Source organism: Homo sapiens, chromosome 15 (genome assembly GCF_000001405.40).
Source record: "Homo sapiens chromosome 15, GRCh38.p14 Primary Assembly".
Lineage (NCBI taxonomy): Eukaryota > Metazoa > Chordata > Mammalia > Primates > Hominidae > Homo > Homo sapiens.
This window is the reverse complement of record NC_000015.10, coordinates 82,809,628-82,827,760: the sequence shown is the minus strand read 5'-3', so window position 1 is coordinate 82,827,760 and position 18,133 is coordinate 82,809,628. Positions and strand designations below refer to the sequence as shown.

Genomic DNA, 18,133 nt, shown 5'->3' with positions numbered 1-18,133 from the left:
GTTGCCCAGCCTGGTCTCAAACTCATGACCTCAAGGAATCTGCCCGCCTCAGCCTCCCAAAGTGCTGGGATTACAGGCGTAAGCCACCGTGCCTGACTCCCTATTTACATTGTTTTAAAAAACCTATTTACCTTTAGATGAATGTTTGAGGTGATGGATATGCTAATTACCCTGATTTGATCATTACACATTATACACCTGTATCAAAATATCACACTATACCTCATAAATATGTACAATGATTATGTGTCAATTAAAAATAAAAGCAAAAAATTATTTTTTGAATTTTCATAGCAGCTTTTTTTAAAGGAATTTATCTCTAATAATAAAGTCAACAAATAGAAAAAAATTAGACTCAGGATCATTTTGTGGAGGAAATACAAATGTAGGCCTAGAACAGAGGGCATAAAAAAATAACATTATCCTCATAAGTATATACTTCAAAAAAAGAAAAAAGAAAGTTGTAGATATCAAAAAAAAACCCACTAAATTTTACTTTTAACAGGGCACTTTCACTACACTTATATCACAATGCTGCCTGGATAACATTTTAAAGAATTGTTTATTACAAATGAGGGGAAATGCCAGCTAAAGTCAAGGGAGTTGAACAGTTTTCAGTTTTCCCTGCCAATCTAAACCACCAGTGCCAGTTAGGACTACTCAGTGAGGAGTGCAGAGCAGGAACCCAAGCGTGTTGTGATGTCAAAAACAGCAGTTATTTTGTATCATGGGTTTTGAATCACTGATATTCTATTTTTGTTGTTTTTTATTGATATACCAGAAATAATGGTATTTTTTAAATGTTTCACGTTCTGAATGACCTGTTCTTAATACTTCATACTTTCATCTTTTTTAGGGTGGTCTTCAGTTATTTCCCCAGAAGTGTAGATGAGGTGATTGTTTATAGAACTTACATCTTTAAATGATCTCAATCGTTGGAGTGTTTTTTGACGTTCTTGGTTGATCCATTCTTTTTTCTTTTGCTCCTCTTCTTTTATCTTGTCTCTTTTCTATATTTAAACAAATGTATATTTGTAAATTGCTCAACATTACAAAAAATGTCTTGGCATACAATAAAAATGTCTCAGCAAAGAAAGAGGCTGTACCCCAACATTACCACCCCAAGGCTGCGCCCAGGCTGCAGACCTGGAGGCTAATGGCTGACAGCTGCAGGTCCAGGGCAGCGCAACTCCAGTTTCCACAAGTCTAGGCCTGCATGTCACGCTACACAAACATAGAACATTTTCCTTCGGAGGAGACTCACCATCTGAATACTGTGATGCTGACGAGAGTATCTTATGCTTTCTTCAGCCTGTTGCAATCTGAACCGATGATTTTCTTTGCACTGATCCTGGTGGAATAATACAAATCACCTACATGGTTTTTAATATTACCCTGGTATAGCATAAAAGATTAAAAGAAAAAAGCACTGCATTTGGGCTATAGTGTAAGGCATTCATTAATATTAGTTCTGGAGCGGCCCAATGGTACTGTCTCCTCCGCAGTCTATGATGAGGGTTGCCTGGCTGCTTATGGAAATAATTTGTTCCCAGCAGAGTGCTTTAAGAGATGAAAAACAATCCGCCAACCATGAGAGGACACATAGGCAGTCGCCATTCTTAAATGGGATGTGTCCCAACAATGTTTTAATGTGACTGTTTAAACACATTTCCCCATAACATTATTAATACTCATCACATTTCCGAGCATACCTACAAAAGCAGAGCAACCTACAAATACCTGAAAAATTAGAACTGTTTCACCTGTGCTTAACCACGCACTGTACCAATATATAATATGCGATATGCACATAAAATCCTTCATCTATGTAAAAAATAATACAGTAATACAGATAATACTAACATTTATTGAGTAGGTTTCAGCCTCAATGCCAAGTACTTTTCATGCCTTATGATACTTTATCCTCACATGAAATTTGTATTATTGCCACTATCATCTTTTTTTTTTTTTTGAGACTGAGTTTCGCTCTTGTTGCCCAGGCTGGAGTGCAGTGGCGTGATCTCGGCTCACTGCAACCTCCACCTCCCGGGTTCAAGCTATTCCCCTGCCTCAGCCTCCCGAGTAGCTGGGATTACGGGTGCCGCACTAGCCTATCATCCTCTTTTAACAGATGAGAAAACTGTGAGCTCGAAAGAGATTTAAGTAATTTGCCTAAGGTCACATGGCTACCTAAGTGGCCAAGCTGTGATTTGAACCCAAGTTGATAGCTCACCTCAACTACCATTCTATTAACTGAGTGCCTTCCAAATTCCAACATTTCCAGAATCAGTGGAAAGAGCTCCTCTAAATGGGGTAGGGGGAGTGATTATATCTTGAGAGTGAAGGTTAATGCTCCAAGTCTGGATAAGAGAAGGCATAGGAGCATTTTATATATATATATAAAAAACACTGCCAAGGAGGTGGAGGCATCTGTTCATCCACAGCACCATGGGAGTGCCAAAGGAGAGTCTTCCTGGGGCTCATGGGTTTTCTGAAATGTGGAGCAAAGGGCAAATGCCTGTATATCTTCAAATCCTCTGAATAACAGTTCCTAAATCCAGAAGTACAATTCTTAAACACAAACATGCAAAGAATATACTCTTCTAACAAAGTTTTTTATTTTTATTTTTTTATTAGAGACAGGGTCTTGTTCTATCACCCCAGCTGAAGTGCAGTGGTACAATCATAGCTCACTGAAGCCTCAACATCCTGGCTTCAAGCGATCCTCCTGCCTCAGCCTCTTGAGTAGCTGGGACTATAGGTGCGCACCATAGAGATGAGGTCTCACTGTGTTGTCCCTGGTCTTGAACTTCTGGCCTTAAGTGATTCTCCCACCTCAGCCTCCCAAAGTGCTGGGATTACAGGCATAAGCCATGGCACCTAGCGAAGTTTTTCTTAAGTATTTGTATTTACATGGAAGAGTAATGAACATTTTTATAAGCTACAAAAGTCACAATTTTCATGTTTTCTTAATTCTAATAAGAAAAATATAGTAGGCTGGGCACAGTGGCTCACGCCTCTAATCCCAGAACTTTGGGAGGCTGAGGCAGGTGGATTGCTTGAGGTCAGGAATTCAAGACCAGTCTGACCAACATGGTGAAACCCCGTCTCTACTAAAAATACAAAAATTAGCCGGGTGTGGCCAGGCGCTGTGACTCATGCCCGTAATCCCAGCACTTTGGGAGGCCAAGGCGGGTGGATCACCTGAGGTCAGGAGTTCAAGACCAGCTTGGCCAACATGGTGAAACCCCGTCTCTACTAAAAATACAAAAATTAGCCAGGGGTGGTGGCACATGCCTGTAATCCCAGCTACTCAGGGGGCTGAGGCAGGCTTGAATCCTGGAGATGAAGGTTGCAGTGAGCCGAGATCGTGCCACTGCACTCCAGCCTGGCGACAGAGTGAGACTCCCATCTCAAAAATATATATATATATATATTAGCCGGGTGTGGTGGCAGGCACCTGTAATCCCAGCTACACGGGAGGCTGAGGCAGAAGACTCGCTTGAACCTGGGAGGTGGAGGTTGCAGTGAGCTGAGATTGCGCCATTGCACTCCAGACTAGGAGACAGAGCGAGACTCTGTTTCAAAAAAAAAAAAAGGAGAAAAGTATAGTAAATATGAGTAAATACATATAAAAGTCTGTATAAAAATGATATATAGGAGCTTCCTTTTCTGTCAGAGAAAATTAAATTTCTTAGTGTTATCTTTTTATGTATTCATGGATTTTTTAAAATTAAGAAAAAAAATCACCAAATATAATGTCTGAGGTGAGCTGAATATTGTTATCTGTAATTCTTTTGTGTACTCAATAATTTACAGTAAAATATATTTAGAATTGTTATAGTTGGCTATTAGAAATAGAGTTTCTACCTATTGTGGTTTTTAAAGTACTGTGGTCCAGGGGTGGTGGCTCACACCTGTAATCCCAGCACTTTGGGAGGCCAAGGTGGGCGGATCACTTGAGGTCAGGAGTTCAAGACCAGCCTAGCCAACATGGTGAAACCCCACCTCTACAAAATATACAAAAATTAGCTGGGCGTGCTGGCGCGTGCCTGTAAACCCAGCTACTTGGCAGGCTAAGGCATGAGGATCGCTTGAACCTAGGAGGCAGAAGTTGCAGTGAGCCAACATCATGCCTCTGCACTCTAGCCTGGGTGACAGAGCAAGACTCTGTCTCAAAAAAATAAAAATAAAGTGCCTGTGTGCCTGTGTATGCAATGGGCATTCAACAAATAGTTGTTGAATGAATAAATTAAAACCTTGAGATTTGCTAAATGCTTAAATCCCAAAAGAAAAAAAATATTTTTAAGAAAAATATTTAAAAGCATTTTAACTATAGCCATGGATAAGTACATAAGCACACAAAATGTAATCACTGTGTTGGTAAAAACCTTATTTCAATACCTTTATCCTTCATACAAGAATAAATCTCTGAAAGAGAAAAGAAAAGAAAGCCGCTCTGAGCGTACCTACCTTTCTACTCCGGAGAGAGGCTCTTTTGGCACAGATCCTGCCCCGTTTAGACTCCAGCTGCTGGCACTGCCTTCTGAGTTCTTTCACTTCCAAATTCTTATCATCCTGCAGCCCCACCACACAGTCAATGACTTTAAGTTCCTCTGGATTTTCACATGGATCGTAATAGACAACTTCATCTTGTTTTTCTAAAAATGTATTAATGATTGTTTAAAACATATTTTATTATTTTAAAAAATGCATTGAATTTTTTTAAATGTAAGAAAAATAAAGATCACTTGTAATCCCACCACTGAGAAGCACTATTAACATATATGAAAAATATGTGTATATGTAATATACATGCACACATGTGTATATACATGACTATATACATGTATGTAAGTAGCATGTGTGTATATCCATGTAGTGTATGCATGTATACATACATGTATATAGACATATGTGTGTATATATATATATACACACACACACACATACTACTTACATAGCTACACATATCAATGGAGTTCTAAAAGAACATTTTCCATGGGATGGAAATACATTTTTAGGCCAGGCGCAGGGGCTCACGCCTGTAATCCCAGCACTTTGGGAGGCCAAGGCAGGCGGAACACCTGAGGTCAGGAGTTCAAGACCAGCCTGGCCAACACGGCAAAACCCCGTCTCTACTAAAAATACAAAAATTAGTTAGGCACAGTGGCGCATGCCTATAATCCGAGCTACCTGGCAGGCTGAGGCAGGAGAACAGCATGAACCTGGGAGGCAGAGGTTGCAGTGAGCCAAGATCGTGCCACTGCACTCCAGCCTGGGCAACAGAGCAAGACTCCATCTCCAAAAATAAAAAAAAATTTAAAAAGATAAATTTTAATGGCAGCATAGTATTCTCTAATTTAAGCAGTCCATGTTGTTAGGCTGTTCCAATGTTCCACTATTATTCATTTCACTGTGATGAACATCCCTGTATAAATCTTTGTGTACACTTTTTATCACTTCCTTAGCAGATAAATATTTAAGGATCTTGATACCCATTGACAAATTGCCCTCCAGAAAGGCAACTTATATTCTACCAGCAATATATTATTAAGATGTCTTAGTCATATATAATCTTGATTACATATTGATTTTTTTTAAAGCCATGCTTACTGTAACAAATTCAAACCCTCCAGAAGTACATAAAACAGTGAAATTGTCTTGCTCCTTCCCCAAACCTTCTGAGTCATTCTCAGAGGAAAAACATTATGAACAATCTGGCATGCATCCTTCCAGATTAACTTCTTTTTTTAATGTAATTTTTTTCCTAAATATGTAAAATGCTTATAACCTGAAACTACTGCAAAAAATTCTGAATACTCAGGATTAAACTAAAAGTTCAGGATCTATGTGAAGAAATTTATTAAACTTGGAGGAACTTTAGGAAAAAAGATTTAAATAAATGGAGAGAGACATACCATGTTCTTGGGTAGGAAGATTCAAAATTGCAAAGACCACTATTCTCCCCAAAGTAATCTCTAATTTTAAGCAAAATCACAATCAAAATTCCAACGAGTTTTTGTTTTGAACTTGATTCTAAATTTCATCTGGAAGAATAAAGGAGTGAAAATAGTCAGAAAACTTGTGGAGAAGTAATGGGGGAGGTACTTGCCTTACCAGACCCTAAAATGTGCTTCCAAGGTACAGTCATGGGAACGGTATGGAGCCAGCAGCAGAAGCCACTCACAAACCAATGGAGGAGAACAACACAGAAACAGACCAAAGTCAATCTAATGTTTAACTTGAGAAATGTTAAACATTTAGGGAAAATGTTTTTAAAATCAGTGATTGGGACTGCTTAACAATTTGAGGGAAAGGTTCAATTCCTACGACAATCAAAATAAATTCCACCTGGACTAAAGAATTAAATGTTTTAAAAAGCAACATCATAAACATACGAAAAGAAAACATAAGCATATATTGACATAATTTTGGGATTGGAGAATATTGCCAGACATAATACTAAAAGCAGAAGCCATGGGGAAAAAAATTGATAAACGTGACTTCATAAAAATTAAATATTTCTGAAAGGCAAGAAAACACAAATGACAAGGAGAGATTATTTGCAACATATGACAGACAATAGAGGATATTATTTTTAATGTGGAAAGGAAATATTCCAAAGAAAAATGGACAAAGACTATGAATAGGCATTTCATAAAATAAGTACAAATGGCTCGTAAACATACAAAATTTTGTTCAATATTCACTCATAATTAAATAAATGAAAATTGGAAGACTGCCATTTTCTCTGTCAAGTAAGCAAAAATGCAAAAGAATGGCATGAGTCTGGGAAACATACACACTCATATTCTGCTGATGGGAGCATCTTTTTTCTTTTTTTTTTTTTTTTTTTTTTTTGAGACAGAGTCTTACACTCTGCCGCCCAGGCTGGAGTGCAGTGGCACCATCTCGGCTCACTGCAATCTCCACCTCCCAGGTTCAAGCGATTCTCCTGCCTCAGCCTCACAGGTAGCTGGGATTACAGGCGCCTACCATCATGCCCAGCTAATTTTTGTATTTTTAGTAGAGACAGGGTTTCAACATGTCGGCCAAGCTGGTCTTGAACTCCTGACCTCAAGTGATCTGCCCCACTCAGCCTCCCAAAGTGCTGAAATTACAGGTGTGAGCCACCACACCCAGCCTGGGAGCATCATTTTAAATGTACAACCTATCTAGAGGGTCATTATGTAGCATGAAATTTAGAAATCAGAAAATAATATGGAGGTGAGGAAAAATGTATCTCAGATGATTATTGTACTGTTATGTATCAAAATGTAAAATATACATTGCCCTTGACCCAATAATTCCATCCTTAGAAATTTATTCCAAGGAAATAATCTGTCCTATACTCAAAGACATGTGTAAAGTTCACTACACTACTGTTCAAAACACCTGAAATTTGGAAATCATGGTATATCCATATAATGGAATACTATGCAGCCATTAAAATTTTGATACTTTTATTATTCACTGAAATAGAAAGACAGTTATGTATTAAATGAAAAAGAGACTATTATGCATTATATGCCTATGTCAAAATATCTCATGTAACCCATAAAAATATATATCTACTATGCACCCATAAAAATTAAAAATTGTTTAAAAAGATGTTACTGAACTGGTTATATATTTTGGTTAAAAATTTATATTTTTATATATCAGCATATTTTAAAATCTACAAAGTTATACAGCAAATTGTTACCACGAAGTATCTTTTTTTTTTTTTCCTTTTCAAGATGGAGTCTCGCCCTGTTGTCCAGGCTAGAGTGGAGTGGCACGATCTTGGCTCACTGAAACTTCCACCTCCCAGGTTCAAGCCATTCTCCTGCCTCAGCCTCCCAAGCAGCTGGGATTACAGGCACGTGCCACCACACTGGACTTTGTGTTTTTAGTAGAGACAGGGTTTAGTATTTTTGTATTTTTAGTAGAGATGGGGTTTCACCATGTTGGCCAGACTGGTCTGGAACTCCTAATCTCAAGTGATCTGCCCGCCTCGGCCTCCCACAGTGCTGGGATTATAGGCGTGAGCCACTGTGCCCAGCCAACCACTAAGCATCTCTAGATGATGGGATTGGGGTAATAATCATTTTTCTTTCTTTGTTTTGCTATGTGTTAACAATGAATATATTATTTGAATAATAAACCACTGAAGGAAAACTTTAGGAAATTTTCAGATGTTATAATTTACAAAAAGTAATTGATAATATGGTCTGTATTTCCTTAAATTTATAATTTAAACATTGCAATCTATATACTTAAATTTTACCTTTTATAAGTCTTTTAAGAGAGTCCAACTGTGTAGTAAGCAGTATTTCTTCGTTTTTTAATATCTCAAATTTAACTTCATATAGTTCTAATTGAATTTCATAAAATTGTATTTCTAATTCATCTACAACATTTGTATTTTTTTCTTGTTCTGGAAGATCTTCCATCTTATTTTCATAGAAAAAAGAAAAATAAGTTAAAATAAATTAGTATATTAAAAACAAACTTTAGAAGCATTCTAGCTATTTTCTATTCCTTGTTCAGTACTAAATATAACAAAGCAAATAGGAAAGAAACACTTTTTCATTTCATCTAGTGATGCAAATACTTTATCTCATCCTTGAAACAGAGGAAAACATTTAGGTTCTGAGAAACATAAATGGCAATGAGGTATTATTATGTACTGCATATTGGTGTCCCCCCAAAAATTCGTATGTTGACACTCTAACTCCCAGTGTGATGTTATTTGGAGGTGGGTCCTTTGGAAGTAATTAAGTTCAGATTATGTCAAAAGGATAGCACCCCCATCATGGGATTAGTGCCTTTATTAGAAGAGAAAGAGAGGGATCACTTTCTTTCTAAACATACACACAGAAGAAAGGCTATATGAGCACTCAGTTAAGAAGGCAGCTGTCTACCAGACAGGAAGAGGATCCTCACCGGACAGTGAATCTGCAGGCACCTTGATCTTGGACTTTCCAGCCTCCAGAACTGTGAGAAATACATGTCCGTTGTTTAAGCCACCCAATCTGTGATATTTAATCTTGTTATAGAAGCCTGAGCCAACTAAGACAGGTGTTTACAGTGTTTTCTGCTTTAAAGTCATAAGATTATAGGAAAAAATTTAAGTGACTATGCAGTGAAGTATCTCTTTGATTATTTTAAAGTTGTAGTGAAAACATTGCTGGGTTGATTTTCAAGTACAGTACCCATTTCAATACTGAGCTTGGTATTACTATAAAGTGAAACCTACAATATGGTATTTTGAAACATCTTAACCAAAGGAAAACTTTATGTCTAACCTTCCACAGAAGATGGTGTTGGAATAAGCGAAGAAAAGAAGCTCTTTAACGATGCCTGGAAAGAAAAGTGCTATCTAAAAATAAAAGTGTGCTTTACCACATGGTCTCACTTATAAGTGGGAGCTAAGTAATGTGTATACACAGTGTGGAATAATACACACTGGAGACTCAGAAGAGTAAGAGGGTGGGAGGGGGGATGAGAAATATTTAATAGGTACAATTACATTATACAGGTGATGATTACACTAAAAGCCCAAACTTCACCACTACACAATATATCCATGGAACAAAAACTGCACTTGTATCCTTTATTTATACAAAATGTTTTAAAAATAAAAGTGTATTTTTAAAACAAAGTTATGTTTATCTTTGTCTTACCTTTCCCTGAATTTCAGCTCTTTTGTGATTTAAACACAACTCTTTCGCTCTCATGAGTTGCAGAGTCTCTCGAGCTAGCATTAGCTGAAGTTTTTCCAACCTGGGAATTGCTGTGGCCCAGGCAGCCTGACCAAATCTCTTCGCATCCTGTTCCATTTCTTTCTGCATTCCTGTTGGATTATAAAAATAAAATATAATTACACCTCATTAAAAAGGGAAACATTTATCATGAGCTAATCCTTTTTTTATTGCCTCCATACTACCTGCAGAATATCCTTTTTAAAAGAAATTTTATTAACTTTTTTATTATGATAAAAATAATACATGTTCATTGATATAAAATTTTAGGTATTCCATTTTTAAAAAGACAGTAAGTCATGATCTCACCTAGTTGAGGCAACTGCTTCTTATATTTTGGCACACTTGCTTCCATATTGTTTCTATGTCTAGCTAGACAGACAGGCTCATATGGATAGTTTGACCACAAAACCAGGATCATCATTCTGCTTTCTATCTTGTTGATTCTGCACAATGTATCAGAAACTCTTGCCACTCATAAAAAAAAATCAAGAATCATGCTTAACAGCTACGTAGTTTTCTGTTTTATGAAGGTACCATAACTTAACAAACTGACAGACGTTAAGTTGTTTCCTACTTGGTGTTTTTATCAACAATTATTTAAGACTAAAAAAAAGTCCTTCACCCAGCCCACAAGCCCCTGCATGGTCTGACCCCTGCCTGTCTGGCCAGCATTTTCCCTCATACCACACTGTCCTGCACTCTCTGCGATCCAGCCCCGCAGGTTTTCTTTAAGCTCCTAATTTGCCAACTTCCCTCAAGGCAGGGGACTTTTGGCAGTGCTATTCCTTCTGCCCGGAATACTCCTCACTTTTTATTTTCTCTCAACTTCCATTTACCCTTCAGATATTGGGGCAAGCGCCACTTCTCAGAGGCCTTCAGTGACCACCACCCTGATCAAGCCCAATTTCTCTCTCACAGACCCTCAGAGCCCATGTCTCTCTTCTTTGTGCCATTTACTGTCACTGCCATTTTCCATGTGCTTCAATGAATAGATAATTAAGATTTCTCTCCCTTCACCAGACTGTACAACGTCTCTTAACGCTTGACACTGAATTCTCAGCACCTAGAAAACATAGTACCTAGTGCGTAAGAGGGACTCAAATGGTATTTGAATAAAATGATAATCAATTACATGTATCTTCATATAGCATTTTTTAAATTATCACCTGCTAATGCTTTTACTGTCTCCTTAAAATAATTCACTGTGATATCCTGAATAGAGACGACAGCTTCTTCAGCCCGTCTGGTCCATTCTTCAGCTTCTTTCTCCAGGGCAACTACCCTTCTAGGACCTAGGTCATCCTCATCCAAAGACTTCTACAGACAGAAGGGAAAATTTTCTTAGTAAGAGCTAATAGTTATGTAGAGCCATTAGGAAATTGAAAGGAAATTGGTCACATGGATTAATTTAACTACACTACTACTCAGTCAATTAAATTTTCATTCATTCAGCAGTCCCTTACTGCGTATGAATAAGGCTCTAAGCTGAGCACCACCTGTAAGACAAAAGGACACTCTGGGGCATAAAGCGAAAAAAAAACCCACTTTCACTTCACATGCCTAGAATAACTTTTTCTAGAGAGGAATGTTGTCAACTTATGCTTCTATTAATAATAATACACAATTGTTTAAATGAGTGATCTGTGTTGTCAAGCACTCAGCATAGGGCCTGGAACACAGCACTTAAGTATTAGCTGTTGTTACTGTTTCTTTTAGGGATATGTAATATAATCACCTAAAATATAGTATCTGTATATTCATGCTTATAACATGTACTGGTATTGGACTCCCCCCAAAATGCATATGTTGAAGCCTAAATCCCCAGTGTGATCATATTTGAAGATGGGGCCTTTGGGGGGTAATTAGGTCATGAGGGTGGAACCCTCAAGAATGGGATTAATGCCCTTATAAAAAGAAGAGGAGACACAGGATCTCTCTTTCTCTGCTCTTCACCATGCGAAGACACAGCAAGACAGTCATCTACAAATTAAGAAACTGGCCCTCACAAGACAATGGATCTGTGAGCACCTTGATCTCAGACTACCCAGCCTCCAGAACTGTGAAAAAAAAGTTTTGTTGTTTATAAGCCACTAATCTACGGTACTTTGTTATAACAGCCTGAACTAAGACGTGTACTGCTATGTCATCCAATATGCAATTTTTCTTCTACAAAGCCTAAGAAATATGTACAAGTTAGCCGACAAGGAATTACAAATCAAAACCATAACGAGATACCACTTCACACCCACTAGGATGGCTGTAACCAAAGAGACACACAGTAACAAGTGCTGGTGATAATGTGGACAAACCGGAACCCTCATTTACTGCTTTTGGGAATATAAAATATGCACCCACTTTGGAAAACTGTCTGGCAGTCTTTCAAAAGGTTAAACATTGAGTAATCACAGGACCCAGCAATCCTACTCCTTAGTACATACACAAGAGCAATGAAAACATATGTCTACACAGAAACTTACACACAAACATTCACAGAATTATTCATAATAGCCAAAAAGTGGAAACAACCCAAATGTCCATCAACTGATAAATAAAATGTAATATATCCATACAATGAATATTACTCAGCAATAAAAAGAAATGAAATCCTGATATTTGCTCCAACGTGGATTAGCCTTGAAAACATTGTGCTGAGTGAAAGGACCACATATTGAATAATGCTGTTGCTATGTCCAGAGTAGGGAAATCCACAGAGACAGAAAGTAGATTGGTGGTTGCCCAGGGTTGGGAGTGACTAAAGGGTACAGGGTTTCTTTTGGGGGTGAAAATGTCCTGAAATTACACAGTAATGATCACTGCACAACTTTGAATATACTAAAAATCACTGAATTGTACTATATATATATATATATATATATATATATATATATATATATATAAAATCTGTGAGTGATATCTTAAAACACCTTTTATGAAAAACAGGCCGGGTGCGGTGGCTCACGCCTGTAATCCCAGCACTCTGGGAGGCCGAGACGGGCGGATCACGAGGTCAGGAGATCAAGACCATCCTGGCTAACATGTTGAAACCCCATCTCTACTAAAAATACAAAAAAATTAGCCGGGCATGGTGGCGGGCACCTGTAGTCCCAGCTACTCGGGAGGCTTAGGCAGGAGAATGGCGTGAACCCAGGAGGCAGAGGTTGCAGTGAGCTGAGATTGCACCACTGCACTCCAGCCTGGGCGACAGAGCGAGACTCTGTCTCAAAAAAAAAAAAAAAAAAAAAGAAAGGAAAAATATAGGCTGGGTGTGGTGGCCCATGTCTGCAATCCCAGCACTTTGGGAGCCCAAGGCAGGCAGATCACCTGAGGTCGGGAGTTCGAGACCAGCCTGACCAACATGAAGAAACCCCGTCTCTACTAAAAAAATACAAAATTAGCTGGGCGTGGTGGCACATGCCTGTAATCCCAGCTACTCGGGAGGCTGAGGCAAGAGAATTGCTTGAATCCAGGAGGCAGAGGTTGCGATGAGCTGAGACTGCGCCACTGCACTCCAGCCTAGGTAACAAGAGCAAAACTCTATCTCAAAAAAAAAGAAGAAAGGAAAAATGTATGCAAGAAGTAGACTTTCCAAATAATAGACTTTCAAAATAATGAACAGAACAACTTTATCCACAGGTTAGAGTGGTATGACTCTCATCTAAATGTGATACTATTTTTATAATACAATCATCTGGCAAGGGTCATGAGATTATATGTGGAAAGATGGCCCGGTGCAGGGGGCAGAAACCAAGAGACATCTTAGGTGTCTTCTGATTTCTGTTGTTGAGACCCAAGGCAAGCTGTTTAACTCCTCTGGACTCTAGATTCATTTGTAACACTGGAATAAGCATGCCTTTTCTGAATGATGTCACAGGGTTGTCTGATGGCTCAATGAAGCAAGAGTGATAACAGCATTTACTAAAATTTAAGTTACTGAATTACAATCTAGGGTCCTGCTATTTAAATTTTCATCTTATTTTAAGAAATCTGCGTAAGTCCTTAGAGGAAAACAAGCTGAAGCAAATAAATATCACATCAAAAACAATTCATCAGGCTGGGTGCAGTGGCTCATGCTTGTAATCCCAGCACTTTGGGAGGCTGAGATGGGTAGCTCGCTTGAGGTCAGGAGTTCAAGACCAGCCTGGCCAACATGGTGAAACCCCGTCTCTACTAAAAATACAAAAAAAGTTAGCTGGGCGTGGTGGTACACACCTGTAATCCCAGCTACTCAGGATGCTGAGACAGAAGAGTCGCTTGAACCTGGAGGAGGTTGCAGTGAGCCAAGATCATGCCACTGCACTCCAGCCTGGCTGACAAAGGGAGACCCTGTCTCAAAAAAAAAAAAAAAAAAAAAAAAAAAAAAATTCATCACCAGAAAAAACATTTAACTCTTTCAAATCTGTAGGAATCTTAAGCTATTAAGATGACCAACGTAAATGTCTTCATTTTCTATCAATTTTAAATATAAACTCAATATGTACATATAAGGGTAAACTAGGCACATGTAATGCTGTGCTTTGGGAGGCCAAGGTGGACAGACTGCTTGAGCTCAGGAGTTCGAAACCAGCCTGAGCAACATGGCAAAACCTCATCTCTATCAATAAATAAGTAAATAAATAAACATAATGGTAAACCCAAACAAAGTACAAACAGAGATTGAACATTAAGTGTAAATAAAGAAATAATTTATGACAAATAGTAAATCTGATAAAGTAAAAATTTTAAAAAAACATACCAAAATATCAAGCTTACATAAAGTTGCAACTTCTCGCATAGCCCTAAATGGCTGCAATAAGTACTGGAAGAACATGGTTGCCACGGTAACCAATTCCTGGTATGCTTCATCTTCCTCTTGGTAAACGTTCATTAATGCTACCATGGTGTTGGCTTTTCCGTGTCCTTGAATAACCTAGAAAGCAAATGTGAATAAAGCTCAAGTCAGGACAGTATATTTAATACATACCCAACAAACAAAACTAAACAAAAGAAACCTTCATGTTCTCAACTTTTAATACATCAATTTTAAATACTGATTAAATATGAAAATGTTATCATCCTCCATCAAAAATGCCCAATAAAACAAGAATGGTTAAGAAAAGTATGATATATCCATGTAAGAATATTATTACTGTAGTCATTCAGCACTGTGCTTCTGAAGATTGTTTAATAATATGGAGACTTTTGTCCAGGCATGGTGGCTCACACCTGTAATCCCAGCTGCTGGGGAGGCTGAGGCAGAGAATCGCTTGAACCTGGGAGACAGTGGTTCCAGCCTGGGCAACAAGAAGGAAACTCCATTTCAAAAAAAAAGACACTTTTATAATATTAAATGGAGAGGCAGAGTGCAAAGTTTAATCTCAACTATGCACTAAGTATGCAGCGAAAGGGACCCAAAAGAAGGTTTGAGGTTGTGGATATTTTTTCATTTCACTTTTCTGACTGTAAAGGTGTTGTGAGGCTGTATTCCTTTTTAAAGCTCGTAAGGGCCAGGCGTGGTGGCTCACGCCTGTAATCCCAGCACTTTGGGAGGCTGAGGTGGGCGGATCACGAGGTCAGGAGATCGAGACCATCCTGGCTAACACGGTGAAACCCTGTCTGTACTAAAAATACAAAAGATTAGCCGGGCGTGGTGGCGGGCGCCTGCAGTCCCAGCTACTGGAGAGGCTGAGGCAGGAGAATAGCATGAACCCGGGAGGCGGAGGTTGCAGTAAGCCAAGATGGCGCCACTGCACTCCAGCCTGGGCGACAGTGCCAAGACTCCATCTCGAAAAAAATTTTAAAAAAAGACCTCATAAAACATTACAGAGCTGTCTCCAAGTACTTCAGCATGTTGATTCTCTTAATGCCCCAGATTAATATTCCCATGAAGCCCTTAGCAGTCACCTCATTTACAGAGCCTCAACTGTGGTTCCAGTCTCTGCTGGTTACTGCTTCTGCTGCAGGGCAGAAAATAAACTGAACAGTGTATAATCTAGGTGGACTCACTTGGCAGGAAATTATTTTACTCCCAGAAGAAGAGAAATAAAATCAAATAATATAGATTTTTTTCAACCAATACATTCTTAAATTCTCCTATTTCCATCCTTCTGCTTAAGGATAAAGTGATCTACTTTCAGCTATAGTTTTTTATCCAGGTAATAATATTATGGGTTTTTTTTTTAAGTGAAAGCCTCACTGAACAAAATCAAAACACACACGCAAAAGTAAACTTAAGGCAAGTGATACATTTCAGCCTTATTTCTTAAACTATTCAGAAAAATTCCAGAGTTAAAACATTCAGCTTCATTTTATATATCCTAGCAATACTAGCAATTGGTCTAATTCTAGAATCAATTGCTTTTCCATTCTAAATATTAAAATTATATATTTGAACACGTTTTGAATTTAAGCTTCCTCTCCCAACCCCTCATTTTTAAGTTCCAGATAAATATGTGAACTACACTAACGTGAACGGCTAGCTCAACAGTATGAACTACATTCATGCTATAGTACCCCAGAGTGAACTTAAATTTGGGAAAACTATAACTTTTCTGATAGTATTTACTACAGTAAAATACATCATAAACATGTTCGATTTTAAGGAGAAACCACCTATCTCTGTGAGAAACCGAGTGTGTAAAAAACAAGTCTGATACAAAATGATATCATTTTTGAAACTCCCCTGTGGGTTCCTCATATCCTAAGGTGAAGACGATAAAGTTGAAGATCAAACGCTGACTGGCCTGAAACTCCCCTGTGGTTTCCTCATATTCTAAAGTGAAATCAACACGAGAAGTGGGTGTGTAGATATTTACACATAAAACCCACAGTACAAAAATGACCCCACTAACGAGCTCCTTTTATAAAACCATTTTAATTTGGAAAGCTTATTCTACATTTAGCTTAGGCTGAATTCTTCTCTTCACTTCCCCTTCCTCAGAAGAATGCACAGAAAAAAATCATTCAGGTTAATAACAGCAGTGAGCCGAGACTCCAGCCTGGCTCTCCTTAATAAACTGTGGGTGTGGACTTAGAAGGCATATTTTCTCCTAAACCCTTCTGTGAACTTGTACTTCCCCTCCCCTTAGGTTCAGTAAGTTTACCACTCAAATAATTACTCTCTCTCAAACTACCTCTTTCAAGCTTAAAAGGGCACTAATGCGGTCATTCCAAACTGATGAATAAAGTTCACCTTCTGCCGGCTTTCCATTTGACCAAGTATATATTACTTAAAACAAAACACCCTATCTCCTAAAAGCCATTTCTTCCTCTAAACCATTTTATCCCATTTGCGACGTCCCCTCATACACAGGAATTGCTTACATTTAGTCCGTGTTATTCTTTCCTACATGGATGGGTTGTTTTCAGTCTTGCTTGCAATATTTCTGGCATTTCCTGTTACAACATCCTGCTCTGCCAGCATCTTCAGGGCAAAAGTTGGGGGCCTAGCCCAGCTCCCAGCTGCAAGTACACTAGGCTCTAACTTCGCTTGTCCTCTCTGCAGACCCTCCCGCAGCTCCCGCCGGTTTCCCGCAGCGGTCCCGCGCAGGTGACGGCACTGGGGAGCCCGCGGCCTTCTCCGCCCGCCGGCTCCTCCCCGTCAGCCGTCAGCCAGGGCTCTCGGCGCCGGGGGAGCCTCCCACAGTGTCCCAGGCCATGGAAGCGCGGACGAACGCCGGCGACCGGGCCTCGCTTACCTGGCGCAGCCGCGCGTCCGCCTCGACCCACCGCGCGCGCAAGGCCCGCTCCCGGAACTCGCGCGGGCTTTCGCAGTCGGCCGCGCCGCCCTCAGCCGGGAAGAGTGCGTCGCGCACTGTGGCGCCGCCGCAGCCGTCGGCCGCCGCGCCCAGATAGCGTTCCAGCTGCCCGCACAGCTCCTGCAGCGCCGCCTCGCCGGGACCCGCGCGCGTCGGCCACAGCAGCGCCCACAGCCCGAGCCCCAGACCCCAGGCCCCGCCGCCGCCCACGTCCAGCTCCGGCGGCAGCCGCGGGAAGCAGCGCTCCAGAGGCGGCCACAGCGCCGCCAACTGCCGGTGCGCGCCGCGGAGCCCCGCGGCCGAGAGCAGGCCGGCCCAGCTGGACGGGGAGACGGCGGCCTCAGGCTTGGGCTCGGGCTCGGGCCCCAACCGGGCCCCCTCGCGCAGCCGCCGCTGCTGCGCGGTACGGTCGTGACAAGTCACAGCGAACTTGCCCTCCGCGCCGTTCCAGGCCACCAGGAAGCGCAGCCGGTGCCTCTCGGGCTCGGCGAAGAGGCCCTCCCGGACCGGCACCCAGCCCTCCAGGCTGTCAGGCTGCTCGTCCTCCATGGCTGTCGGCAGCAGCGGCCCTAGGGCTCGGCGGGCGCGGGCCTGGCCTCCTCGCACCGCCTGTCACGGGACAGTCCGAGCCAAATCATTTTTCGCTAG

At 40.3% G+C, this 18,133-nt stretch overlaps 1 protein-coding gene across 6 annotated transcripts in view, besides 3 other annotated features; it reads right to left on the bottom strand.

The window, feature by feature from the left end:
* The window catches only part of WHAMM (WASP homolog associated with actin, golgi membranes and microtubules), a 26,481-nt gene extending 8,348 nt beyond the window's left edge, over positions 1 to 18,133 (bottom strand). The window contains exons 1-8 of one of the 6 annotated variants that reach the window (NM_001080435.3): positions 17,426 to 18,133; positions 14,485 to 14,658; positions 10,919 to 11,069; positions 9,672 to 9,841; positions 8,273 to 8,438; positions 4,474 to 4,661; positions 1,265 to 1,351; positions 915 to 1,010 (exon numbers count right to left, since the gene is read on the bottom strand). In NM_001080435.3, the coding sequence (NP_001073904.1) occupies positions 915 to 1,010; positions 1,265 to 1,351; positions 4,474 to 4,661; positions 8,273 to 8,438; positions 9,672 to 9,841; positions 10,919 to 11,069; positions 14,485 to 14,658; positions 17,426 to 18,034 (1,641 nt within the window). In that variant the 5' untranslated portion in view covers positions 18,035 to 18,133. Of the gene's footprint in view, positions 1 to 914; positions 1,011 to 1,264; positions 1,374 to 4,473; positions 4,662 to 5,921; positions 6,051 to 8,272; positions 8,439 to 9,671; positions 9,842 to 10,058; positions 10,883 to 10,918; positions 11,070 to 14,484; positions 14,659 to 17,051; positions 17,301 to 17,425 lie in introns of those variants that run through there. The other 5 variants (XM_005272423.5, XM_005272421.5, XM_047432153.1 and 2 more) reach the window with 5 other exon arrangements.
* Positions 17,228 to 17,397: a silencer, noted in NCBI's record as "silent region_6756". NCBI's record gives its function as "represses an Ori minimal core promoter by ATAC-STARR-seq in GM12878 lymphoblastoid cells {active_cell/tissue: GM12878}" and the evidence as "EXISTENCE:reporter gene assay evidence [ECO:0000049][PMID:35858748]".
* Positions 17,618 to 17,727: a silencer, noted in NCBI's record as "silent region_6755". NCBI's record gives its function as "represses an Ori minimal core promoter by ATAC-STARR-seq in GM12878 lymphoblastoid cells {active_cell/tissue: GM12878}" and the evidence as "EXISTENCE:reporter gene assay evidence [ECO:0000049][PMID:35858748]".
* Positions 17,748 to 17,877: a silencer, noted in NCBI's record as "silent region_6754". NCBI's record gives its function as "represses an Ori minimal core promoter by ATAC-STARR-seq in GM12878 lymphoblastoid cells {active_cell/tissue: GM12878}" and the evidence as "EXISTENCE:reporter gene assay evidence [ECO:0000049][PMID:35858748]".